At 37.4% G+C, this 26,995-nt stretch overlaps 1 protein-coding gene, 2 non-coding genes and 2 pseudogenes across 69 annotated transcripts in view; 1 reads left to right on the top strand and 4 right to left on the bottom strand.

The window, feature by feature from the left end:
* Window positions 1–1,188: 1,188 nt before the first annotated feature.
* MIR3685 (microRNA 3685) lies at window positions 1,189–1,250 on the bottom strand. Its single transcript, NR_037456.1, has one exon. It is a non-coding gene; the product is annotated as a microRNA 3685 (primary transcript).
* A 1,409-nt stretch (window positions 1,251–2,659) lies between these two features.
* On the bottom strand, window positions 2,660–2,753 carry MIR331 (microRNA 331). Its single transcript, NR_029895.1, has one exon. It is a non-coding gene; the product is annotated as a microRNA 331 (primary transcript).
* VEZT (vezatin, adherens junctions transmembrane protein) overlaps window positions 8,374–26,995 on the bottom strand; it is an 84,993-nt gene continuing 66,371 nt past the window's right edge. For 44 of the 67 annotated variants that reach the window (NR_147918.2, NR_147920.2, NR_038241.2 and 41 more), the window contains 4 exons: window positions 23,316–23,509; window positions 16,801–16,901; window positions 14,915–15,122; window positions 8,374–11,008 (listed from right to left, as the gene is read on the bottom strand). Coding sequence is in view for 55 of the 67 variants with exons in the window: in XM_047429108.1 (XP_047285064.1) it covers window positions 10,500–11,008; window positions 14,915–15,122; window positions 16,801–16,901; window positions 23,316–23,509 (1,012 nt within the window). In the remaining 12 variants the exon portion in view is untranslated. Of the gene's footprint in view, window positions 12,080–12,229; window positions 12,312–14,914; window positions 15,123–16,800; window positions 16,902–23,315; window positions 23,510–26,995 lie in introns of those variants that run through there. The other 23 variants (NR_147923.2, NR_147922.2, NR_147921.2 and 20 more) reach the window with 3 other exon arrangements.
* RNU6-808P (RNA, U6 small nuclear 808, pseudogene) lies at window positions 20,374–20,481 on the bottom strand (annotated as a pseudogene).
* Window positions 24,229–24,885, top strand: CBX3P5 (CBX3 pseudogene 5; annotated as a pseudogene).

Below are 26,995 nucleotides of genomic sequence, written 5' to 3'. Positions count from 1 at the left end.
GTCCGGTTCAAGGGAGGCCACTTTCTCTTTAACTAGCTTTTAGTATACAGAACCATTTTGGAGTTCCCATGAATGTTCCTAAGAGTGTAGGTAAGCCTAGAAAGGTTCAAACCAGTAACATTAATTCAACCAACTTGTCAAAGTATGCTTCATCGGGTGTTCATGACCTTCTTGGTGTCAGTGTCTTTTCTGTCAAGGAGGTTATATAAGTCAATAAATATAACATGCCCAGAATGTATTCAGTGGCTAACAATCACTGGGAATGGCAAAAATGGAACTTTAAAATTTACACTGCTGTTTTCACTGTGATAAATTATCATATGAGGCACTTAAATGAACAAACAAAACTTGGAGTAATGAATCAATGGCTTTCCCAGACAACTGCCATCTTTTGGCATATTAACAAATTCTGAAAAATACTATAATGGAAGAAAAACAGATAGGAAGGAAAAGGGATTTTTACCTTTTGGTATTAATCCATATGGCAAAGAGCAGAATAAAAAAGGTACACACACAAAAAGATATAAGGAAGTATGGATTTTATTAGAGACTTCTTAAGCTTAGAAGGAACAACAATAATACATATATATATAAATCTATAGTTGGGTTGTTGTAAAATCCTTTAACATAATTGACAAAAATTCCATATGATTAAATACCGAAAATAAAGTACTGTGTTAAAAAATTATAGATATTTGCACACTCATGTTTACAGCAGCATTATTCACAATAGCCAAGAGATGGAGGCAACCCAAACGTCCACCAACAGATGAATGGATAAAAAAATGTGGTAAATACATGCAGTGGAATATTATTCAGCCTTAAAATGGCAGGAAATCCTATCACATTCTACAATATGGATGAACCTTGAGGACATTATGTTAAGTGAAATATGTCAGCTACAAAAGGACAAATCCTGTATGATTCCATTTATATGAGGTATCTAAAGTAGTGAAATTCATAGAGAAAAGTAGAATGATGGTTGCCAAGGCTGTGGGGAAGGGGAAAATGGGAGTTGTTTAATGGGTATAGAGTCCCAGATTTGCAAGATGAAAAAATTCTGAAGATCTGTTTCACACCAATGTGACTGGACTTAATCTCATTGAACTATACACATAAAAATGGTTAAGATAGTAAAATTTATATGTGTTTTTAAAAATCACAATTTAAAAGATGCAAAAAAAGAGAGTACTTTGCCCATCCCCCCAAAGACTATAATCTCAAGTCTTCAGGTAGGGTAGGAAATGTACTACCCTAATATATAAAACACAATTAATCAAAAAGTAAAAATGAAAATACCTCTGAAAGAATATTCTCAAATGATATTTTTTAAAAATCACAGTTTAACACTCAACTAAGTGTCTGGATTGAATGTAGACTTCAAAAACTTACTACGTAAACAAGCTATAACTTTTTAACTCTTCACAAATTCCTATTTTCAGTGTTCATAATGAACAAGGTTTAAAAAAGTGGAAAGGCTCCCAAAATACTGAGAACATATATGTATATAAATCAAGGATGGGTTCACTCATTTCAAGCTATGTCAAGAAGTCTATGGGATGAAGCATGTCTGTTGTGATGGATATAGTACAGAACTAACTCCACGGCTGAGTTCTTCAGAGTGAGCCTCTGTAGGCTCATAGTCCTATTTTAAAGGAATAACCTATTGACCCAATTTGCTGGTGTTATAAGCTTGGAGGAATAGCACAATTTCAAGTTCCTTTCACAGGTGGAGTTTCTGATTAGTCTGTGGTTATTTGAAACATGGTCTACACCTACTGCAGAAGCCAGCATTATTAAAAGCATACATTTTCATTGTGCACCATAACTTTTGGATTTGGGGTCGTTTCATACTTTTTCAGAAATACTGTCTTCTAAATTAAACAGAAAAACATCTATGTGAATATAGCGATGCAACAGTTGTGATATGAGACCATGTGATGGATCAACTAGGTCAGAATATTTGTAAAATCCAGAGTGGCAAGGAATAAAAATAGAGAAACTTACTAAAAATCTTCTACAAAATAGTGATGTAAAATGTGACGTATTAACCAATTTCTACTGTGTCATTCTAGCTTGTTTTCATTAACCATAGCAGAACTTCTAAAAGTGAGCTCTAAAATGTGGCAAATTTGATAATAAATTAAGGAAAAAGTCATTAGTCTCCAAAAACAAGAATTGAAAATCATTTGGCACTGAAGCCAGATGGCAAAGACTAAATGCTCTTCAGAAATTATGAACAATTATTCAGTTACATGAGACTGACATAACAGTGTCAAGTAGAAAAACATTTAAGAAAACAGAAACCATTAAATTTGGGGGAGAGTTTAATTTGGAGGAAGAAGTTGATTTTGGGGTTTTTTAGGGCTAAGTTGCTTCAGCTAAAAATATAGAACTGATAATAAACAAGAATAGCTCTCTTCACTGGCAATAATATCTGTATGGAATTTCTATTGCGAGAAATTACTATAATGCCAAAGGCTGGGAAGACTTTGTTACCCAATGTCATCCCTCTAATTTTAGAAGGATTAACCAACCAATTTTTGCTAAAATGTAGGCACACATACCAAAAAATGTGAATCTTGGTGAATATAGGATGTCTGGTAGGCCTCAGGTTATCTTCAGTCTTCACACTCTTGATGTTCCAGGAATGATGCGCGAGCTTAGGTTGGTTCTAGGATAGGCCCAGGGGCCTGGTTTGATCTGGGATCCCTGGGACCATACCTAGAACAAACCCAAACAAAACCAAACTCCTTGGGAGTGCTTTCAGCTCAGGTAGACTTCTGGGCTTTTCACCCATATGGACCTCCACGACTGTACCAGGACCATATACCAACCTTTAAGGGATGGGAGTGACATTTCTGGAGCCTTCTGTACGTTGTCAGCTGATAGTACTGTGCCTGAGTAAGCATTATTTAAGTCATGGTATGAACAGAAGGTAACAGATTGGTGCAATAAAAGTGCAGAAAATACTTTGATTTAGAAATGAAGTTAATTTCCTTAAGAATTTACTTAAGGAAGGGGAAAAGGATATGCTTTGTTTAGGATATTATAAAAGAGTAAACTTATAAAAGACATGCTTTAGTTTTAGAAAAATTCTTCAATAATATTCATTTGTAGGTAGCTAAGCTTTAGGAAATGATATAAAACTGAAAAACATAAAGCCTAAAACAGTAAAATTATCCTTTAAGAAAATCTTAGGATATAAATAGGAGAGGAAATATATATATCCATAGCCATATCTCACAGAATATACTGATTTTAAAGGATAATGCAGTCAAGAGAATATGCAGCTTAAATACTGTACTATTGCAATAATATGTTGCTAAATGAAGTTCAATACATAGAGATAAAACTAATTTCATTGCTGACAAGCTAAAATACATTAAAATATATACCATAAAAAATACTATATGCACTTTAATTTATCACACATTTCATTTTCCTTCTTTTTTTTTTTTTTTTTTTTTTTGAGACAGAGTTTCACTCTTGTTGCCCAGGCTGGAGTGCATTGGCACAATCTCGGCTCACCAAAACCTCCGACTCCCAGGTTCAAGCGATTCTCCTGCCTCAGCCTCCTGAGTAGCTGGGATTACAGGCATGAACCACCATATCCGGCTAATTTTGTATTTTTAGTAGAGACGGGGTTTCTCCATGTTGGTCAGGCGGTTCTTGAACTCCCGACCTCAGGTGATCCGCCCACCTGGGCCTCCCAAACTGCTGGGATTACAGGTGTGAACCACCACGCCCAGCCCATTTTCATTTATTTATTTTTGAGACAAGGTCTCTCGTTCTGTTGCCCAGGCTGGAGTGCAGTGGTGCAATCATGGCTCACTGCAGCTGTGGCCTCCTGGGCTCAAGTGATCCTCCTGCCTCAGCCTACTGAGCAGCTGGGACTACAGGTGTGTGCCACCACATCCAGCTAATTTTTAAGTTTTTCTGTAGAGACCAAGTCTTGCTGTTTCTTGCCTAAGCTGGTCTTGAACTCCTGGCCTCAAGAGATCCTCCTGCCTCAGCCTCTCAAAGTGCTAGGATTGTAGGTGTGAGCCACTACGTCCTAGCTTATCACACATTTTAGAATATCTATAAAATCAGTTCCTCCTTATTCATGCTAAACTTTTACATGTGTGAATCCTTGAATCAATTAATCCTCTTTTTGGTTTACAGCAATTACACTGAATAGAATCACTTTCCTCTCACAACTACACTCAGAAGTTTTCTTCTTTTATCACTGACCTGGCTTTGGTATCTTGACTATCTCTTCTATAATGGCAGTCTCAACTCAAGAAACTGGTTTGGACCACCTATCTTTTTTTTTTTTTTTTGAGATGAAGTCTTACTCTGTCACCCAGGCTGGAGTGCAATGGCGCAATCTCGGCTCACTGTAACCTCCGCCTCCCGGGTTCAAGTGATTCTCCTGCCTCAGCCTACTGAGTAGCTAGAATTATAGGCAGGTACCACCACCACGCCCGGCTAATTTTTGTATTTTTAGTAGAGACGGGGTTTCACCATGTTGGTCAGGCTGGTCTCGAACTCCTGACCTCGTGATCCACCTGCCTCGGCCTCCCAAAGTGCTGGGATTACAGGCGTGAGCCACCGCGCCCAGCCTGGACCACTTATCTTTTATGATTATTATACCACAGATCCCTTCCATTAGCATGGATAACTGAATGCCGACTATGAGGCATGGTCATAAAATAAACAGACTGATTTGACAGTTACTTTGTAATGAAAACATGAGTCAATATATGGTTACTAAAATAATCAGCATGTTGCTAAAAATAAGTTGTTTGATGCTAGGATATCCATTTCTATACAGATTTGACTTTTACTTGTAAATATTATAGTGTGCAAATTTTATTTTTCATTCAAGAGAGAAAAGTGATCCTGCTTAATTATTAAATATTAAATTACAATTTAATCATGCCCAGTACAGAATGACAGTGGGAATTTAGTCATTCAAATATCTGCCAATATCATTAGATCTAACACTGATAACTTTTGGTAAGCTTTTAACGTCCGCTTACTATAGCTGAATAAAAATAAAGACCCTGTTTTTAAAACTAGCATAATCAAAAAATAAATTCTTTGTGGTATAATTGCCTATAGTCTATAAATTTTATTACTTCTCAGGTCTCTGTGACATTAATAGTGAATGTTTTCTTATTTTTCAGGGCTTAATCTATTTTCATGTCTTGGAAATGAAGATACATTTCTCTCTTAAAAAAAAAAAAAAAAAAAAAAAAAAAGCCGGCTGGGCGCTGTGGCTCATGCCTGTAATCCCAGCACTTTGGGAGGCCAAGGACGGCAGATCACAAGGTCAGGAGATCGAGACCATCCTGGCTAACACGGTGAAAACCCATCTCTACTAAAAATACAAAAAAATAGCCGGAGTGGTGGCGGGCGCCTGTAGTCCCAGCTACTCCGGAGGCTGAGGCAGAAGAATGGCGTGAACTTGGGAGGCGGACCTTGCAGTGAGCCGAGATTGCACCACTGCACTCCAGCCTCGGCAACAGAGTGAGACTCTGTCTCAAACAAAACAAAACAACAACAAAAAAAAAGCCAAAGAAATTCTTAACAGCATGTAGTCTCCAATTCAAATAGAAAATACTATAGAAAATGCTAACTTGAGTGGACCAGTTTTAATCAGCGCCAAATAATTCTAGTATAGAACTAACTTTAGAGAAAGTAAAGTATGTAAACAAAATAGTTCCTTTTGTACCATAACAACTTTTCTATTTTGAGAGCAGGTATCTAATTCGGTAGCTTCACTTATTTTAACGATAGCAATGAAACAGGTAGTAAAGTAACAGATGTCACAAAATCCATGCATTTAAGCATAATCCACTTCCTCAAGTCTTCACTTTGAGTTTATTTATTCTTACTTTACACAGAAGTCTAATAAACTTAGTTTGTCTGGTCTCCAAAATGAAAGCAGATCAGAAGGCACATTATGAAGGTGGAGAAGGGCTACTGCTACAGGCACACTTAAGCAAGCAGTAATAGAAATGGAAGAATCAGAACGACTGTTAAAGACATGAAAACTAAAACGAGTACAGCAGAATGGAGCCATTTAGTACAGGGACAAACAGCTCTCAATGTCTGATTAGTCTATCAGATTATAATAAGTGATGTTAATGCTGATCATTTTGATACCAAACAAATTAAAATACATTCATATATTATTTAAGACAGTAATGCATATCAATTTTATGAAGATTTCCTTCAGAGATTATTCCAAAAAATTTTAGGGCTGAAAGAGGTTCAAGCTCTGCAGGAAACTGGGATATCTAGAATGACTCATTCCCCAAATATTCAAGTTACCCAGTTCTTACTAAATTAGCCATCTTTAGTCTCATAACAATATTTCTAGAACATAAGTCTTGATGAACAGAGTTGAAGTTACATTTATAGTGCCATAAGTTTTAAATCTGTGTACTGTACTAAGAACAATTAATGATAACAATACGTTTAACATTTTTCTGAAATATACACAATTATTTATTCAAAAATGATAGTCAAATTTCTCTTATAGTTGAATTCATTAATGGAAGTCCTAGAAACATCATTATATAAAAACTGAATTAGAACTTCAAATATATGGCAATCACATATTCAACCAAGTATTTGTTTTAGCAAGTTTTTAGTAAAGAACTAAGAGGCAAACAAAACAATGCTAAGCAGTCAAGCAGGTATCACAAAGTCCATGCACTTTACTGACAGAAAAGCCCCTTAGCTCTCTTTCAGTCTACTTACTCTTATTTTAGACACAATTCTAGCAAGCTTGGCAATCTGGTTTCTCAGTCCACAGCAGATTAGAAGCAGCAAATTAGGGACCTATTGCAGGAGGCAGGCACACAAGACGGCGGCAAAAGTGACAGCTGATTATAAGGGAAGATAGAGAAACTGTGAAAAACAGACATAACTGAAAAAAGCACACCAGTGTGAGGTCATGTTGTAAAGGGGTACCTGACATATATCTCAGTAGCCCCTGAGGATGAGTTTCTGTTTATCACCCCATGATAGAAACTGATATTCCTAAAGATGACAGAAAAAGTTAAATTATATTCTATATACTCTAGACAAAGTAGAGAAGTAGTGCATTTAGTTATTAAATTATTAAAATGGATTTGTTTTAGTTAGCTGAGAAGTTAACTTAGGCAAATTAATCACCTGTCTATGATGACAGATAAATGGTTACTGCATTTTTTTTCTATATTTTCTCTTCTAAAATATTTGTAGCTTTATTTTCTAATTGTGAACTGCATAACTATTTTCTTGTAAGTAGAATTGGAAAAATAAACCAACCTTTATGCCTTGTCTGGTTGTCATTCTTAGCATAATATCTACTTTAGTTCAAACAATGATTTAGCTGAGCTATAATACACTCTTATAGTATTTAGTCTGTTTCTTTGTTTGTTTTGGGTATAGGAACAATATACTATGATTAAACCAAATCAGTTGAACTTTTTCATATTTTACATTACTGATAGGAAGTGAAGAGTTAGTCACCAGAGTGAAATGATCTGTAAACACTCCACTGACTTACAATTTTGTGGAATGTATCAGGACTTGATTTTTTTAATGCTTTAACACTAAAAGCTTTATAACTTTTCTTACGTAAATCAGAATATTACTATTAAGAAAATTGAGTTTTAAATGGACTTTCCTACCTGGAGGTAGACAAAGGGTACAAATTCTGTCTTCAAGAGTGACCTAAATAGACTCTCACATGCATTCTTCCATTAAGTACTAGGTTTGTCCTGGTAAAACAAACTACAGAAATATCTGTATTAAAAACTGTCAGGATGATACTCCTAACAAGAATCATACTGTTAAAAATCATATTGTAAAACTTAAAAAGCACAATTATAAGTTTTCCCTGCAGTGTTTTATTTTTTTCCCCAGAGGGCTTCTTCTGTATATAGGGTAGCAGCTTTTTTTTTGAGACGGAGTCTCGCTCTGTCGCCCAGGCTGGAGTGCAGTGGCACGATCTCGGCTCACTGCAAGCTCTGCCTCCCAGGTTCACGCCATTCTCCTGCCTCAGCCTCCCGAGTAGCTGGGACTATAGGCACCCACCACCATGCCCAGCTAATTTTTTGTATTTTTAGTAGAGACGGGGTTTCACCATGTTGCCCAGGCTGGTTTCGAACTCCTGAGCTTAGGCAATCTGCCTGCCTCGGCCTCCCAAAGTGCTGGGATTACAGGCGTGAGCCACCGCACCTGGCCAGGGTGGCAGCTTTGAAAGCTAGCCAAAAGCCTGCTAAGGGAAGTAAAATATTCTTAGAAAAGTAACAAACAAGAAAACCTACTCATATTACATTGGCCTGTTTTTTAATACTTCCTAAGGTATTCATGGCAAGAAGAGCAAAGTTCCAGACAGAGGTTCCTAGATTTTATTGGACATAAACATTACCTATGGCTCATTCCAAAAAGACCAACTAAGAATCACTGGGAGTATGGTCTAAAATTTGCATTTTAAAAATAAGACTTTATTTATTTTGATGTAGTTACCCCACTAATACAACTGAGAACCACTGACTTCAAATATTATGAGAGAAAATTACTCCAGGAATTTTTGCAGAGAAGATAATACTTTATCTTGAAAATATTTTAAATATTTTAAAAGATGGAAACTACACAAAAGAACAAATACTCAAATAAAGCTGCAAGATCTTTATGTCATAATTTCAACAAGTAGAGTTTTCACTGGATTATGTAACAAGTAGTGAATTAAATAGATCAGACTGAAAGACTGGAAATTCTCGATTAAAATTATTTAGTCTTTCAAAATTAAAAGGTATCACCTTAGAGAACACTGAATAAAACTGATACAATTTTATGAAGATTTTCCCCCAAACTGGTGTAATAAAAGTAACATACAATAAAAGAATTAAAAATTATTAAACTCTAATTCTTCCTGTGTAAGGTTATAGGTTGAGAGAGATTACCAAGTTTTTCCATAATTGCTTCTTCTAAATCCAAAGAAAAATGAAGTCGGTAAACTAAATAAGTGATTTAAATAAGAAAGTAAACCCTAAGTATTATTGAATAATTTAACAGTTATAACACACAAAGATTTTTAAAATTGAAATTTAGCTATTTCTAAGTAGTAAAGCAAGGCCCAACCTAAGGTATTGCTCCGAAGAGGTTAATTATAGATGAGTTCCAGGATTTTGGCAAAAAGGCAAAATCACTTATAGTACAATAATCTCTACTGTTTATATAAAGCAGAACCAAGTTTTTTTCTCAGGTTAAAAAGTAAATTTCCTTAGATTCCTGAAAGAAAAAAAATCCCCTTTGGTATAAGTAAATTTACTCACTGAAAGTGATAAGTTACAGGAATTTGAATGTGTTTCTTTACTCTAAAGACAATCTAGATTCATCATGCAATTTCCTTTCTAGGACAGCAACATAGATTGAGTTATTACTACATTTCCCCCAAATAATGTCTATAGAACTATGTTATTGCATAGGAGCTACAGGTTTCAAAACTGTATATGCTGAAAATAATTACTCTTTGAAAATGCAATCACAACACAAAACAGGTAAGATTGGCCAATTTGAAAAGCAGTCTCTGTTAAGAGGTAGTTTGTAAATGAAATACTAAGGAGACAAGGATGCTTTCCAGGAGGCTGACAGGATGTTTCCTGAATCTCATTATGGTGGACAGGGCTAGAAAACAGCAGGATTGTGACCTGTTTGTGTTAATGGCACCCAATTATCCAAGGTAAAGTGATACAAGGAACGTTTTTCTGCTTGCTAAATTGGGGGTGGGGCCTTGGAGTACAGAAATCCCACTTTGACATCATCACTTTCAATTGCAAAAAGAAAGGTGAAAGTGTAATTCTAAAAAATGGTACAATATTTTTCTTTTAAAGATCACTAGGACATCTTAAAATTAACTACTAAATACACACATGAACAAAGAAACATAAGAAATGTCATAACCCACGCACTGTTGAAACTACTTTTAGTTCCAAACCCCAGCACACATCAATTGTATCAATTAATTTTTTTATTCAGAACCTGGATCTTTAAGACTGGTATAAACAAAAATAAAATACAAACAACTTGTTATTAACATAATAGCTGCAGTTATTAACTGCAAGAATACAGTAAAAAGGAGTCATACTAAATGTTAATGTTCTTGCAACAGAATTTTCCCAATCACCTTAAGGTAGCAAATTCTGGCAAGAAATGATAATTCATTTCTTATTAAAAATACTTAAAGAATTTCCAAGATTGATCAGTTGTGCCACAAATAAAACAGCAGTTTATTCAAAAGAGCCCTTACCTTTCTCTTATTTTCCTAAAAGATCTGCCATTTACAGGTAACTACTAATTTCAGATCAGTTATTCAAACCAGGGTTCTTCCTGTAAATCCACATCTTAGCTTTATATATAGTAAACTTACACTCATATTCCCTTTCCAGTCTTGAAGCTAAACACTTTTGTAAAAGGAACAATCTAATATCACTTCATATGAATCTTGGTTCTTACTTTTCTTCTATCTCATTTTTATTTTCTTCTATTATTTGTTCTTCCTCCTCACCACCAAAAGTCTGTTCCTGCATGGTGGTAAAGGAGAGAGATCTAGCAGCCACTTCTGCAGCAAGGCCAGCAGTGAAGGTAAAATCTGGTGACAGCTGTAGCCGTGCCAGCCTCTGCTTAATGGAGGGCTGTAATGAGTCCCTGGGAGTTGGAGGGGCAGTGGTCAGACCACTTCCATCTGCTTGTGGTTCATCTTCACTCTCACATTGGTAACACATTCTTTCTTCTGCTCCTTGGGGGAAGACTTCATTTGAAGAATTATCTTTATTTTTACCTTCTAGAGAGTTTTCACATAAATACTCAGTCCTACTTATTTCATTGTCTGTTGTGGCGGATTTATTACTTTCCTCTTCAGTATCATTTTTACTGACTTTTCCCATATCTGAATTCATTGATGGTTCTGAATTACTTATGGGTTCCACTGGGTCTACAGGAGACAAGGATTTCAACACGGCTTCAAATAAAAAAAAAGAAAAAAGAAAAAAAATAACTAAGGACCTAGCAATGATTTAAACTTTTAATTCAAACTCTCAGTTTTTTTCTTAAAAAGAACAATAAATAAATAAAAGCTAAATAAAACTTTCTAGTAAAATCAATGAAAATTTATAAATCCAGGAAACTTTATAAGAGAGAAAATGCCTAAGAAATGAAATGAGATAGGGATTTGATGAAGGTTTTTATGACACCTCACATATTATCTTATTTAAAATATTAAAGCAGTGGTTCTGAAAGTGTGTTCCCTGAACCAACATTATCAGTTATCACCTAGGAATTTGTTAAAAATGCAAATTCTTGGGCCTGATCCCAGACCTCCTGAAATGGAAACTCTGGGAGTAGGGACCAGCTATATTTTACAAGCCCTCATCTTGATTCTGATACACACTAAAGTTTGAGAACCATTGTATTAGGGAATAAGCAGCATGGTTTTCACTGATAATACATCAGATAAAAGGCTTAAAGTAATCTAGATAATAATAATATCTTCCATATGTATACATATATATTTACAAGTTAAAACAGCATGGAAAAAAATGCAACATACAATTTAACTTACTTGCCAACCACCTAACAAGACCCTAATGAAAGAAAAGCCATAACTTCTACACATTTTGTAGTACCACGAAAAATACAAATGAAGTCTGCATTCAAGATCAACTATTGTACAAAATATAATACATAAATATAATATATATTCATACGGTAGAAGTTGTCCTTGCAAGGAAAATGCAGTTTTATTTAGCCCCTCTTGATGTTAGTAGGCAGTGGGTTGCTTGCTAGGCAGTCGCTCATCCCAGCATGAGGGGTTAGTACAATACAATATAGTATGAAGCATGACGGAAGGAAAAAAGTGCTTCTCGAAGAGCTGGCGTGTATTTAAAAAACGTTTTTGTAAAATGTGTCCACTTCCAGGAACCATCCCTAAGCTGCAGTAACTCCACTAGAGAAGCAGCAACAACAGAAAAAAAATGGCCACAGCAGGTTCCAGTGCAGACTTTCCCCCTCTAATTCCATGCGGACTTTACCCCTGTAGGCAGAGATGAAAACAGCTCTGGAAGATGTACTGAAATTTTTCATGGGAAAAGCATTCTATGGTATCAGCAGCTTTTTACTTATTTTCACAAACTAAAACAGCATTATGACCCTTTCCAATGTAAACTATATCAAAAGCACATACCTGAAAAAGAGACACATTTCTCTCATTGATAAATCTTTCCCATAATGTCAATAGCATAATTTTAAAGCTATATGAAGAAACACTAAACAATAAAAAAGGATATAAGTTTATATACAATGCTATTTTCAATATATGTACATTCTTAGTTTATAAATCTGTTAGCTCTTAAAGGAAGCAACATATATTAGAAGTTGGTTGATAGTTCACAATTATTACTAATTAAATGGGGTGGATATAATCTGAGTAATGAGAGGATCAATTGACGAGTGTGTTAGAATTTAAGCCTTGAGGCAGGTAGGAGGCTTTACATTTTGTCTCTTGATCTTTGCGCTAGGGATACAGCAGTAAACAGTGCCTGACATATAACAAGTACCTAATAACTACTTGTTGAATGAGTAATTTGCTGAATGAATGCTGTGGGATAATAAGGCCCCTATTTAAGAAGACTGTAATTTTGTTACAGAGACAAACAAAACAAAACAAAACAAAACCCTGAACATATAGAAAACAACAGTGCCTAAAATTAATCTCTGATGTATGTAGGCCCAGTATATGAATGAACAGATTGCAGGAAATCAATCTGTTAATCATTTCCCTTCTCTGCTATATGCTTTGGGGTTCAAGACTTCCTTTATATTTTATCACAATGTTCCTCTAGTGTGAGGGTCTGTAGTGTTAGGAGAGGCGGCAGAGCTGGAGCACTCAGAGAAGGATTCATGGAGAAGGAGAGACTAGTAGAGAGGACAGCTTGGTGGAGAAGGCAGAATTCTTGGTAAAGGGGTAAGCATGAATTATTATTATTATTATTATTATTATTATTTTTTGAGAGAGAGTCTCACTCTGTCACCCAGGCTGGAGTGCAGTGGTGCGATGTCGGCTCACTGCAACCTCCACCTCCCAGGTTCAAGCGATTCTCCTGCCTCAGCCTCCAGAGCAGCTGGGATTATAGGTGTGCGCCATCACACCTGGCTAATTTTTGTATTTTTAGTAGAGAGGGGGTTTCGCCATGTTGGCCAGGCTGGTCTTGAACTCCTGACCTCAAGTGATCCACCTGCCTTGGCCTCCCAAAGTGTTGGAATTAGAGGCGTGAGCCACTGTGCTTGGCCAGCATGAATTTTTTTCATGAATAAAAATAACACATTTGTGAACTGTAGTTTAATTCGATAAACATAAGAAGATATCTATAGTAAAAACAGTAGAAAATATAATTGGATAGATGAATTCTTATGATGAAGAGACTTGAAAACAGGAAAAAGAGTTTAGATTCAACACAATAAGAAAGGGAGAAACCACTATAGGTTTTAAGATAGAGAGCCATCATCAATGCAGTGTTGGAGAAAAATCTGCAAAGAGTTTGCAAGATAGCTTAGAAGAAAAAAGTACTGAAAATGGAAGTCAGCTAAGAAGGTATTTTAATGTACAAGGATAATCTACTGAGGACCTGGGCTATAAAGGGGGCCAATGGGAAGAAAGAGGAATGATAAAACCAAGAAATGCAGATCTGGACAGGAGAAAACATAGGGCTCCTGAGGGGAAAAAAAAAAAGAGAACTGGAGGAACTTTCCAGAAGTATAGGTAATCTATGTACTTCTAGTGAGGAGGGAAAAGCAGGGCAGTTGATTTCGAGGGTCCACACAGATACTGTAAAATGGAAGAGAATCCACACTCTACCTACTTAGAAATCCATAGGCATTAATTCAACTAAGAATTAGCTAGGTTGATACTGTCAAGTATTAAGCTTCCCCTGATTCCTTCCCTGTCTCCCATGAAGTTTGACTTAAGAAAAGAAGGGTGAGAAACAGAAAGGAATGTAAGGCTTTTGTATTACCAGCTACCCCACTCTGCTGAAATCAGAGTATGGGGAGTACGCCCACAGGCACCCTGCTCCCCTCCCATCTACTAAAGTGCTCAAACCACTTAAATAATGCTAATGATGTGGCTCACTGGTCTAGGTTTTAATTCCTTTTTTTTCTTTTCTTTTCTTTTCTTTCTTTTTTTCTTTTTGAGATGGAGTCTCCCTCTGTTGCCCAGGCTGGAGTGCAGTGGCGTGATCTTGGCTCACTGAAACCTCCGCCTCCCGGGTTCAAGTGATTCTCCTGCCTCAGCCTCTCGAGTAGCTGGGACTACAGGCACGCGCCACCATGCCTTGTTAATTTTTGTATTTTTAGTAGAGATGGGGTTTCGCCATGTTGGCCAGGCTGGTCTTGAACTCCTGACCTCAAATGATCCACCCGCCTCAGCTTCCCAACGTGCTGATATTACAAGCATGTGCCGCTGCGCCTGGGCCATTTTTTTCAATGTGAGCACAGTTATTAATTTTGTGCTTCACTGAGGTATTTTTAAATATTTTAACATATGGACAACAGAGTTGAGAATCTCAAATTCACTAAATTTGAAAATAACATTTAAAATATCCCAAATTATTCAACTCACTGCCCATTCTAAAACAAATTTACTAAAAAATTAAATAACTCATAAAAAAGTATGACTTCATATTTCCAATGTGGTTACATTCCTACTCTTTTATTAATCAAATTGATTTAGCATCTAGAAGAAAAAGTACTATGCATACTGGTGGACCCTTATAAAACCCCAAGAATTCTTCAGCTAAAATAACATTCATGGTTCAAGAAAGAAAGAATCCCCTACATTGAAATAACCTGTTACTTTAAAGTCAGTGCTTACCATGATCACTAAATAGAAGTTGCTTCCACTTCTGCCTTTCTGCCTCTGAAGCTTTAAATCCCAGCACAGATTTTAATTCTTGGAGCACCCTCTTGGATTCTTCATGCTCACGCTTCTGTCTCTCTTTGTCTTCTTGAGACAAGTAATAAAAATCATCCTTTCTGAAATCACTATCAATATCTATATCATCTACATAAGCTTCTAATTCCTGAAAATGAATAGAAGAAAAAGCACTTTACTTGAAGCAAACAATTCTCTAGTAAGCATTCATTTACTTGCACTTACTTATCTCTGAGATTAAAAAAAAAGGACTTGCATTTGGCACAGGTCATTAAAGCAGAGCTAGGAAAAGAAAAAAGCAAATATATACCTATGGATAAATTGAAATCTTCAAAAACAACCTAACAGTTGATACTAAAAAGCATTGTGGATAAAAAAAGTTTAACAACTTCAGTAGTTATTTTTCTACTCTGGTAACATACCATACACTTAGTGTTACAGCCATTAGCTATATCAAAACCAATCAAAATTAGAAGGGCTGGCACTTTGGGGAGGTGGTCAGGCATGTTTGTTTTCTTGTGGTTCTTTCAGATTTCCCAGGAAGTTTGAACATTCTTCCTAGGATTAGGGAACACCCCACCTTATGGTTCTCCCTATCTCTAAGACAGAGAGGGTAGGATGCTTGCTTACCCAAGCAGTATCCTTACAGTATAGGCTCAGGTAAATGACCTGGGATTCTCTAATCGACGTACCTGCATCAGATCGGACTTAGAAGTCTGAGATAAAAGAAGCAGGCACCAGCCGGGCGCGGTGGCTCATGCCTGTAATCCCAGCACTTTGGGAGGCTGAGGCAGGCGGATCACGAGGTCAGGAGTTCAAGACCAGCCTGGCCAAGATGGTGAAACCCTGTCTCTACTAAAAACTACAAAAATTAGCCAGGCGCGGTGGCAGGCACCTGTAATCCCAGCTACTCAGGAGGCTGAGGCAGGAGAATCGCTTGAACACGGGCAACAGAGGTTGCAGTGAGCCGAGATCGCGCCCCTGCACTCCAGCCTGGGCCACAGAGTGAGACTCGGTCTCATATAAAAAAGAACCAAGCACTTTGGAAAATCTATTCTGGCAGGATGTTGCAGATATGTTTCTTGAAGTAGCACTTCTGGAGGTTAAGTTTTACTATTCAGCATTGACGAAGCAAGGGGCAATGTCTCCACCCATTAACTTAGCAATGATAGTTCCATTGCAACAGTTCTTTTGAGTGATTTGGCTGTTTACCCTAGCATCATTCAAGCCTGCTTATCTAGCTCTCTGAAATATTCTGTAAGCTACCTAAAAGTTTAAATAAAGTATCTGTCTGTTAAACTAACTAGGGTTGGTTTCCATTTGCAATTAAGAATACTGAATAGTAACTTGTTATGCAATATACACGGAAAAAAAATACTGAATAGATAATATGACCTAAGGAAAAGAGGTTTTCCTTACAATGAACAAAAGTAACCTTTGTCAATATCCAATGCGATCATTAAAAAATTGTTTTTAAAAGTGAGGTATATCATAGTACATGCAGTCAAGTGCACAGGATTTTTACATATGTACACATACCAGTAACTGCTACTCAGATCAAGATAAACACATTTCCAGCATCCCAAAAGGTAGCTTTGCCAATGTACTAATTTTCAATGTGTTTAATCACTTTTGAAAGCCACTCAGATATAGACAATTAGATATAAATAACAATCAAAAAAAAGTCTGCAGGCAGATTCAATGAATTCAGAGTTAAGCACTAAGAACTAATGATCTGATATAAATTCAATATATTATGTTGTAATTTTGAAGCTCATTAGAAACAGAAATCCAACAAGGGAAAGAACAGTAATTTTCACCCTTACCTGCTCCTCTGGGATTGGATCTTTGTCTGCAATGTGTAGAGTAGGCTGCTTCAAAGGTACTACTGTACAATGTGGGTTTTCACATGCTATTTCAGGCTTGCCTTTAAAAAACGGGAATAGATGGGAATAAAGATAAGAAACAGACCACACAGAAATGAGTGAACATCTAATTAAAAACACCCTTGGGGCCAGGTGTGGTGGCTCATGCCTGTAATCCCAGCACTTCGGGAGGCTGAGGCAGGAGGATCGCTTGAGCCCAGGAGTTCAACACCAGCCTGGAAACAAAGACTCTGTCGCTACAAAAACTGAAATAAAAATTGGCTGGGCATGGTGGTGCACACCTGTAATCCCAGCTACTTGGGAGGCTGAGGTGGAAGGATCGCTTGAGCTGGGGAGATCAAGACTACAGTGAGCAGTGATCACACCACTGCACTCCAGCCTGGGCAACAGAGCTAGATCCTGTCTCCCCCAACCAAAAAAATCCTTGGTACTAATACTTTGTCAATTTCATAGTCCAACTTGTTCTAATAACTTTGTATTTATAAAAACATAAAGATATTAAAGTGAAAAACAATAAATTAGTAGATTTACAACTTAACTTTAAGTCTTTAAACTCTTGGAGAAGAGGACCTGCCCTTCTCTCTTCACCTCTTCACAGTATCTGGTACACACCAGGTACTCTGTAAGTACTTGTTGAACAAAATATTATCATTCACAGCATAGGAACAGTCTTAAGACAGACCATCACTCTTCTTCACAAAATACAAACTTCAAACTTACCCTGAGGCTATTTTAACACTCAGAGGTTGGAATTGGAAATGAATTCACAAGGAAATATCTTTTAAAGATCACCCAAGTGAGTTTAACTTTGATTAATTCTTAAAATTTATGTTTGGTATTTAATGACAGGGTTACTTAGTCTCATATCCAGGTGGCTATCATTAATCATTATCTTTCTACTTAAAAAAAAGAAGTATGGTTTAAACTTGTTGATTTTTAATTTTCAAAAGTAACAATAGTTAAATGGTTAAAATAAAGAAGTATTTGGGAAATGTTACAAAAAATGACTGATTAGTTTGTAGGCAAGATGGCAGAACGATGAATAAATTAATAGGAAGCACTAATGAGAGACAGAATAGCACAGTGGCTAAGAGCTGTAGAGTTAGTCACACCTGGGTTACATCCCAGCTCTTGCTGCTTTCTAGTTTAAATTATAGTTAACTGGCTGGGCACAGTGGCTCACGCCTGTAATCCTAGCACTTTGGGAGGCCAAGGCAGGAGGATCATGAGGTCAGGAGTTTGAGACCAGCCTGACCAACATGGTGAAACCCCCATCTCTACTAAAAATAGAAAAATTAGCCAGGCATGGTGGTATGTACCTGTAATCCCAGCTACTCAGGAGGCTGAGGCAGAAGAATCGTTTGAACCCGGGAGATGGAGGTTGCAGTGAGCCAAGATTGCATCATTACACTCCAGCCTGGGCAACAGAGCAAGACTCTGTCTCAAAAAAAAAAAAAAAAAAAAAGGGCCAGGTACAGTGGCTCACACCTGTAATTCCAGCACTTTGGGAGGCTAAGGTGGGTGGATCACGAGGTCAAGAGTTTGAGACCAGCCTGGCTAATATGGTGAAACCCCATCTCTAATAAAAACACAAAAATTAGCTGGGTATGGTGGCATGCGCCTGTAGTCCCAGCTATTTGGGAGGCTGAGGCAGGAGAATTGCTTGAACTTGGGAGGCGGAGGTTGCAGTGAGGCGAGATCGCGCCACTGCACTCCAGCCTGGGCGACAGAGTGCGACTTTGTCTCAAAAAAAAAAAAAAAAAATTACAGTTATCTGTAGAACAGTGGTGAAAATAATAGTACTATCTTGTAAGATTAAAAAAGAATACATGAAAAGTGCCTGCTACAGATTACATGCTCAAAAACTGCCATTATTGCCTAATTAGCAGAACACAGATTTCATTACATCAATGGTGACACCATATATCGAGTTCTTTGAATGAAAAGAAAAAAAACCAAATAAATCCATAAGACTATTATTAATAGCAATAAACAGGTACATTAAACAGTGTGCTGGCAATCCAGCTCTAAACAAAACAAAACACCCAATTTGCAGCACTTCCTGATTTCCAGTTCCCATGGTGTAAATGCACCCACTGTGACCAATTTTAAGCTACCAATGATGTTAAACTGACTCACAAATTTCTGAATATTTAACAATCTTTGGAGAGCTAGCTCCAGCATGCAATCCATTTAACAAAAATCTAGCAAGAGGCCGGATGTGGTGGCTCAAGCCTGTAATCTCAGCACTTTGGGAGGCTGATATGGGCTGATCACTTGAGGTTAGGAGTTGGAGACCAGCCTGGCCAACATGACGAAAACCCATCTCTACCAAAAAACACAAAAACTAGCTGGGCATGGTGGTGCATGGCTGTAGTTCCAGCTATTCGAGAGGCTGAGGCAGGAGGATCATTTGAACCTGGGACGCACAGCTTGCAGTGAGCTGAAATTGCGCCAATGCACTCCACACTCCAGCCTGCACAACACAGTGAGACTCTGTCTCAAAAACAAACAAACACAAAAAGCCTAAAAAAATTTTAAAAACCCACCAGATTTTTAATTACATGCTTGCAGTAATAGCTTTTACAAACAGCACAGAAGGTTATAAAGTGAAAAAAGCTCCCTGAAGACCTTATCCCTCAATTCTACTGTCTGAAAGCAGGGGCTTGCCAAATCTGCCCCACTGCCTGTTCTTGTAAATACATTTTTCCTAGAACACAGCCACACTCATTTAAGTATAGTCTATGGGTGCTTTCACATTACAACAGCAGAGTAAAGTAGTTGTAACAGACACCATATGGCCTGCAAGGCAGAAAATCTTTAGAGGAAAAAAATTGCAGACCTTTATCCCAGAGCAATGCTTCTCAAATTTCTCACACTTTAACGTGGATGCAACTACCAGATCTTATTAAAATACAGGTGGATTTAAAGTCAGGGGTGCATTTGTAACAAGCTCTCATGTGATGCTTATATGCTAGTCTGGGGACCACTCTGAATAACAAGGCCCTAGAGGTAATAAATATGAAGCGTTTTAAAATAATGTGACACACACACATACACATGCGCACACACATATATTTTTGAGACAGGGTCTCACTGTGTCACCAAGGATGGAGTGCAGTTGTGCAATCATGGCTCACTGAAGCCTCGACCTCCTGGGCTCAAACAATCTTTCCACCTCAGCCTCCCAAGTAACTTTTTGTTTTTTTTGGTAGAGATGGGGTTTTGCCATATTGCCCAAGCTGGTCTCAAACTACTGGTTTCAAGTGATCCTCCCTCCTTGGGCTCCCAAAGTGCTGAGATTATAGGCATGAGCCACCGCACCTGGCCTGTGATATTTTTAACAATGGGAAACTTTATTAACTGGAGATTCTTTTCTATGGTAATCCTCGAGTAATGCCAAAGTTATAACCTATTCTCAATGATTTCCTGAGCTTACCACAATATATATGTAGATATATATGTGTATATATATGTATATGTGTATACATACATATTTATATAAATTCTATATAAAATATGGAATGATTCATGAATTTGTACATCATCCTTACACAAAGGACATGTTAATTTTCTCTGTATCATTCTAATTTCAATACATGTGCCGCCAAAGCCAAGTACCCTAATCTTGGTTTCTAAATGCCATTGCCATTAAAAGATTTTACAAGCCATTCCTCCCTCCATCTCCAATTCCTTGCAACTACTGATCTGTTTTCTGTTCCTTTGCCAACTTAAGAGTACCTCATAAGTGGAATAACATAGTATGTAGTGGTTTGAATGTGATGTCTTTCACTTGGCATAATGTATTGAGATTCATTCATCGTGTTGTATGCATTGGTAGTTCACTTTTTTTGTTGCCGAGTAGTATTTCACTGTATGGATGGATGTAACAGCTTAGTCACCTCCCAAAGCCTAGCTGCTTCTAGTTTTAGTTTATAAACAAAATATTTATGTATAGGCTTTTGTGTGAACACTAAGTTTTTATATTTCTTGGTTAAATACGTAGGAATGATACTACTGGGTCATATGGTATATGCATTCATAGTGGTTAAAATTTTGATGAAGAAAGCATATTTATAAAACCTCAGAGTATTTCTTTACAAAATATTTATCATGAAAGACTTTAAGGAAAAGGAGAATAAAGAGCATGACAACTGAACACCATGCACAATCTAGGTCTAGACATATAAAAAATATTGGGACAATCAGGGAAATTTGAATGGGTTCTGTGGATAAAATGACAATATCATGGTTGGTGTTCATTTTCTGATTTTGATGGTATACTGTGGGTACACAGGAGAATGTTCCTGTTTTACAAAAATGCATACAGAAATATTTAGGGGTAATGGGGCTTCAAGTCTACAACTTACTCTCAAATGGCTCAGAGTAACACCACCATCAAAAGAATTACACACACATACAGATACATACATAGATAAGGCAATTGTGACAGAATGTCAACAACTAGGGAATATTGATGAAGGAGACTTTCAACTATTGCAACTTTTCTGTAAGTTTGAAATGATTTCAAAATAAGACCTTTTTAAAAAAAGATATGGCTAACTAAAGTACCTGCTTCTTAAAATATTCAAATGAACATTTTTTAAATTTAAACCTGTGTAGTCATGGCCACTGTGAATTTTTTAGTGAAAAAAGTTTGTGAACTATTTGTGTCTTAATCCATATCATTATTATCTATAAGCAAAAGCCACACATACAGAAAATAATTAGAAAATGGCTTATCTTAATTACCTACCCAATGAGGTGGAGAAAGTTTTCACAGTAATGGTTAACAATAGTGGATAAGCGATAGACTAAGATTCAACATCTCATAGTGTGCTAAAGGAGGGATGAATGGGATGCATCTTTCTTTTTTTTTTTTTTTTTTTTTTTTTGAGACAAGAGTCTTGCTCTGTTGCCCAGGCTGGAGTGCAGTGGTACGATCTCAGCTCACTGCAAGCTCCGCCTCCTGGGTTCACGCCATTCTCCTACCTCAGCCTCCCGAGTAGCTGTGACTACAGGTGCCCGCCACCATGCCCGGCTAATTTTTTGTATTTTTAGTAGAGACAGGGTTTCATTGTGTTAGCCAGGATGGTCTCGATCTCCTGACCTCATGATCTGCCCACCTCAGCCTCCCAAAGTGCTGGGATTACAGGCGTGAGCCACTGAGCCTGGCCTTTTTTATTTATTTATTTATTTATTTATTTATTTATTTATTTATTTTTTTTTTTGAGACGGAGTCTCGCTCTGTTGCCCAGGCTGGAGTGCAGCAGTGGCACGATCATAGCTCACTGCAGCCTCAAACTCTTGGGCTTAAGCAATCCTCCTGCCTCAGCCTCCTGAGAAGCTGGGTAACAGCTACTCCCATCACCGTGCCTGGCCAGGATGCATCTTTTAACAACCAAAGGTCTTCTGAGTGTTTCTATTTGTAGAAAATGTACACAAAAGCTCTAGATGTCATATCAGAAAGTTTAATATGCATAAGTATTTGCATATATCAGAGTTTCTTGGTAGATTTATCCTTTGGAGAAAAAATTATTCACAGTTTACATTTGAGATATTAAGAAAACCTACGGGTAATATATCAGTAATTAGCATGTTAATATTTCCTTTGGAAAAAGTGAATACTTTTCCTATCTAAGGATTTGTTCAAGCTTGTTTAAGACATTAAAGAAATTATTACAAATCTAGCTGTAAACACAAAAATAACAGGATGGTAAAGCATTAATTATCTTTAGCAACAATGCAAATTCTATGCCTAAGTCTGAGTAACCTCACAATAAACATCCAAGAGATAAATATGGTACTGATTTGCAGCACAGTTTTTAAAAATTGATATGCCAAACATTGAAAAATGAAATCAGTGAGGTAAAAACAAGCATAAAATCGGAGTCACATAAAAGCAGCTTGGTGGAAAAATCTCAAGACTATATATATATTTTTTTACCTAGTAGCACAAAGCAATCTGATATATTATTAAATAATGACACAATGTCTTTAGATCTTAGTACTAAATATGCAGTGCCACTAATTATATCATTTGTATATTATTTTTGAATGACTAAAGTTAAGTATTTTATCTTAAAAGAAAAACTCAAGTTCCTAGCCCCAGACTATCAAACTCATTCTTTTATTATCCTAACTGAAAAAGAGTTTCTGGAAGTTCTAATAATAGAAAAATGCTATCAAAATTTATTCTCTCATTTCAGTCTTTTTAAAAAAGAGATATGATTCACTGAACTTTCAAATCATATTCATTTTTAATTTACAAAATGAGAGCCAAGAATTGTATTCAGTGTCACTTTGTACATATAAATTCAACATTAAAAAAAAGTAAACTAAGAAATTTTGAAGCTAGTTTCATCATAAAGACAAGAAGTCTACCTAATAAAATCCTACCAGAGTGGAATAAGCATGTCTGATAAGCATATGGCAAAGAAATCTCTCACAGGTACCTTTTTTATCTGTATTTCTTCGTAGCAGTTTGTCGACCTGAGAAATGGCCTCTTCCCAGCAATTGTTGCTTGCTTGAACGTGGGGCTGAATCAACTTTAATTTCTGTTCTAGGATGGGATAAGCCTCTGACACTAGTTCTTGTGTTTCTTTAGTACAAACAAGCTTTTCAAGTTCATCTTCAAGAATTATTACCCTGAGTCATAAAGAAAAACAGAAACAGATTTCTATAATATGAAATGAAAAATTTATAATTTACGAGGCTTATTTTAAAATAAGCTTAAATCTCAGCACTTTGGGAGGCCAAGGCAGGTGAATGGCTTGAGCTCAGGAGTTCAAAACCAGCTTGGGCAACATGGTGAAACCCCTTTTTCACCAAAAATACAAAAAATTAGCCGAGCATGGTAGCATGTGCCTAAGGCTGAGGTGGGAGGACTGCTTGAGCCTGGGAGGTAGAGGTTGCAGTGAGCCACAATAGCGCCACTGCACTTCAGCCTGGGGGACAGAGTGAAATCCCATCTCAATTAAAAGAAAAAAAAGAAAAAAGGCTTATAAGATGAAAAAAGTTCTGGAGTTGGACAGTGGTAATGGCTACACAACAATGTGTATACACTTAATGCCACTGAACTGTACATTTTATAATGATTAAATGATAATTTTTGTTATGTATTCTTTGACACAATTTTTTAAAAAGCTTATAAAGAGTATTACATATTTATTCAACAAATATTTCTTGCATACATACTAGGCATTTTATGGGCCAAAAAGAAAAATTAAACTCATCTGCTATTCATAAGAAATAACAAGTGATATTACACATATATGTAAGCAAAATATAATATCCACCGCCCCTCCCTACCCCACCCCACCCCCACTTCCCCTGCCAACAACAGCTCCCTGGCTCCCTCCCCACTTGGATGTGGCTCGAGCTGGTGACATGCAAGACTGGAGACACCACAGACCCATGACCCAGAGCAGCTTGGAGGCAGTGAATAATAGCTCTTCAGGTCTGCAATAAAAAATGGCCTCCAACAAAACCACATTGCAAAACATGGGAAAGAAACAGAATGGAAAAGTAAAAAAGTTGAAGAGGCAGAGCCTGAAGAATTTGTGGTGGAAAATGTACTAGATAGACACGCAGGGAATGGGAAAGTGGAATATTTCCTGAAGGAATTTACAGATGCTGACAATACTTTGGAACCTGAAGAAAATTTAGATTGTCCAGAGTTAATTGAAGCATTTCTTAATTCTCAAAAAGCTGGTGAAGAAAAAGATGGTACAAAAAGAAAACCTTTATCTGGCAGTGAATCTGATGACAGCAAATCAAAGAAGAGATGCTGTTGACAAACCAAGAGGAATTGCCAGAGGTCTTGATCCTGAAAGAATAATTGGTGCCACAGATGGCAGTGAAGAATTGATGTTGCTCATGAAATGGAAGGATTCAGATGAGGCAGACTTGGTGCTGGCACAAAAGGCAAATATGAAGTATCCTCAAATTGAAATTGCTTTTTATGAAGAAAGACTAACTTGGTATTCTTGTTACATACATACATACATGTAAAATTTGCGGTCAGGCACGGTGGCTCACACCTGTAATCCCAGCACTTTGGGAGGCCAAGGCGGGTGGATCACCTGAGGTCAGGAGTTCGAGACCAGCCTGGCCAACATGGTGAAACTCCGTCTCTACAAAAGTATAAAAATTAGCTGGGCATGGTGGCAGGTGCCTGTGATCCCAGCTACTCAGGAGGTCAAGGTAGGAGAATCGCTTGAATGTGGGAGGCAGAGGTTGCAGTGAGCCGAGATCATGCCACTGCACTCCAGCCTGGGCAACAGAGTGACAGACTCTATCTCAAAAAAAAAAAAAAAAAAAAAAAAAAGAAGGGGTCGGGGGGAGCGTCTTGGTTTTTTATTTACTAGTATGACAAAATAACTACACTCTAATGAAAATCAAGTTTTATATGCTCATTTTGAAAGCAGTGTTGGAAGAATTGTTGGGTTTTTCTTTTTTGCATCAATAGCACTGGTTACTTTGAATAAATAAATACAAGCTTTCTGTAGTTGCTTTCTTTATCAGAAAAGAAAAAGACTACAATATCATAAATAATTAGAACTACCATTTTATTTCCATTTTACAGATAATAAGGAATTAGGCCCAGAGAGTCGGGGAAACTTGCCTAGAGTCACAAAGCTAGTAAGATGTAAAACTGGGCTGAATACAGGCACAAAAGGATAATACCACAGAGAGACAGTGTTATGAGAAATCAGAAGAAGGGAAAATTACTACCAACTGCAAGGACAGATGGGGAACAACTAAGGAAGAGGTATTTTTGAGGTAGCATTGAAGGATGGATAAAATTTGGGCCCATATACAAAAGGTGAGGAAGGTTGTTCTTTTTATTTTTTATTTTTATTTTTTGAGACAGGGTCTCACTCTGTCACCCAGGCTAGAGTGCAGTGGTGTGATTTCGGCTCACTGCAACCTCAACCTCCAGGGGTCAGGTGATCCTCCCACCTCAGCCTCCCAAGCAGCTGGGACTACAGGCGTGTACCACCATGACTGGCTAATTTTTGTATTTTTTTGTAGAGATAAGGGTTTCCCATGTTGCTTAGGCTGGTCTCAGCTCCTGGGCTCCAGCAATCTGCTCTAGTTGGCCTCCCAAAGTATCAGGATTACAGGTGTTAGCCATTGCGCCTGGCCGGAAGCTTGTTCTATTAGGTTGATACAAAAGTAATTGAGGTTGTTGCCATTACTTTTTTTTTTTTTTTTTTTTTTTGAGACAGAGTCTTGCTCTGTCACCCAGGCTGGAGTGCAGTGGTGCGATCTTGGCTCACTGAAAGCTCCACCTGCCGGGTTCACACCATTCTCCTGCCTCAGCCTCCCGAGTAACTGGGACTACAGGCGCCTGCCACCATGCCTAGCTAATTTTTTTGTATTTTTAGTAGAGATGGGGTTTCACCATGTTAGCCAGGATGGTCTCGATCTCCTGACCTCGTGATCCTCAGCCTTTAAAGTGGAATATTGTGTACATGCTAATGTCTCTCACCTTTCTTAAGTATTTTCACTAGAAAGTACACCAGTCACAAACCATCATATCCCAAAGTGCTGGGATTACAGGCGTGAGCTACCTCGCCTGGCCCGCCCTTACTTTTAATGGCAAAAGCTGCAATTACTTTTGCACCAACTTATAGAAGGACCATGGGAAAAGGCATTTATACAGTTTGGCTGGACTGAAGGAAAGGAATGAGAATTAAAGATAGAAACAGACTGTAGTCAGGTTATGACAAACCCTTCTATAGTATGTTTTGTAAGGACTTTAGTTTGAGCTGCTATGACTCCGAAACCAGTCAAGATTTTCAGTGAAGTGAGAAAGCAAATATATGCCTCAGTAACACTAATCTGGCCATACACACCCTGGAGGTGGGGAGAACAGTTAGAAATTAATGCCCTAGTGTAGGGAAGAGACAATATGGTTCCACATGAGGCACTGAGAGTGGGAACAGCAAAGAACACAAGGGGGAGAGGAGTGAGACACAAAAAGAGCATTCTAAAATATGAAACACAAAACAATTATTTAGTTAACAATTCAAAAAGTTGTATGTAGCAGCACTACAGAGCAAATTGGATATGATGGTTTGTGACTGGTGTACTTTCTAGTGAAAATACTTAGAAAGGTGAGAGACA

This window comes from Homo sapiens, chromosome 12 (genome assembly GCF_000001405.40).
Source record: "Homo sapiens chromosome 12, GRCh38.p14 Primary Assembly".
Taxonomy (NCBI): domain Eukaryota; kingdom Metazoa; phylum Chordata; class Mammalia; order Primates; family Hominidae; genus Homo; species Homo sapiens.
This window is presented reverse-complemented; position numbering and strand designations above follow the sequence as displayed.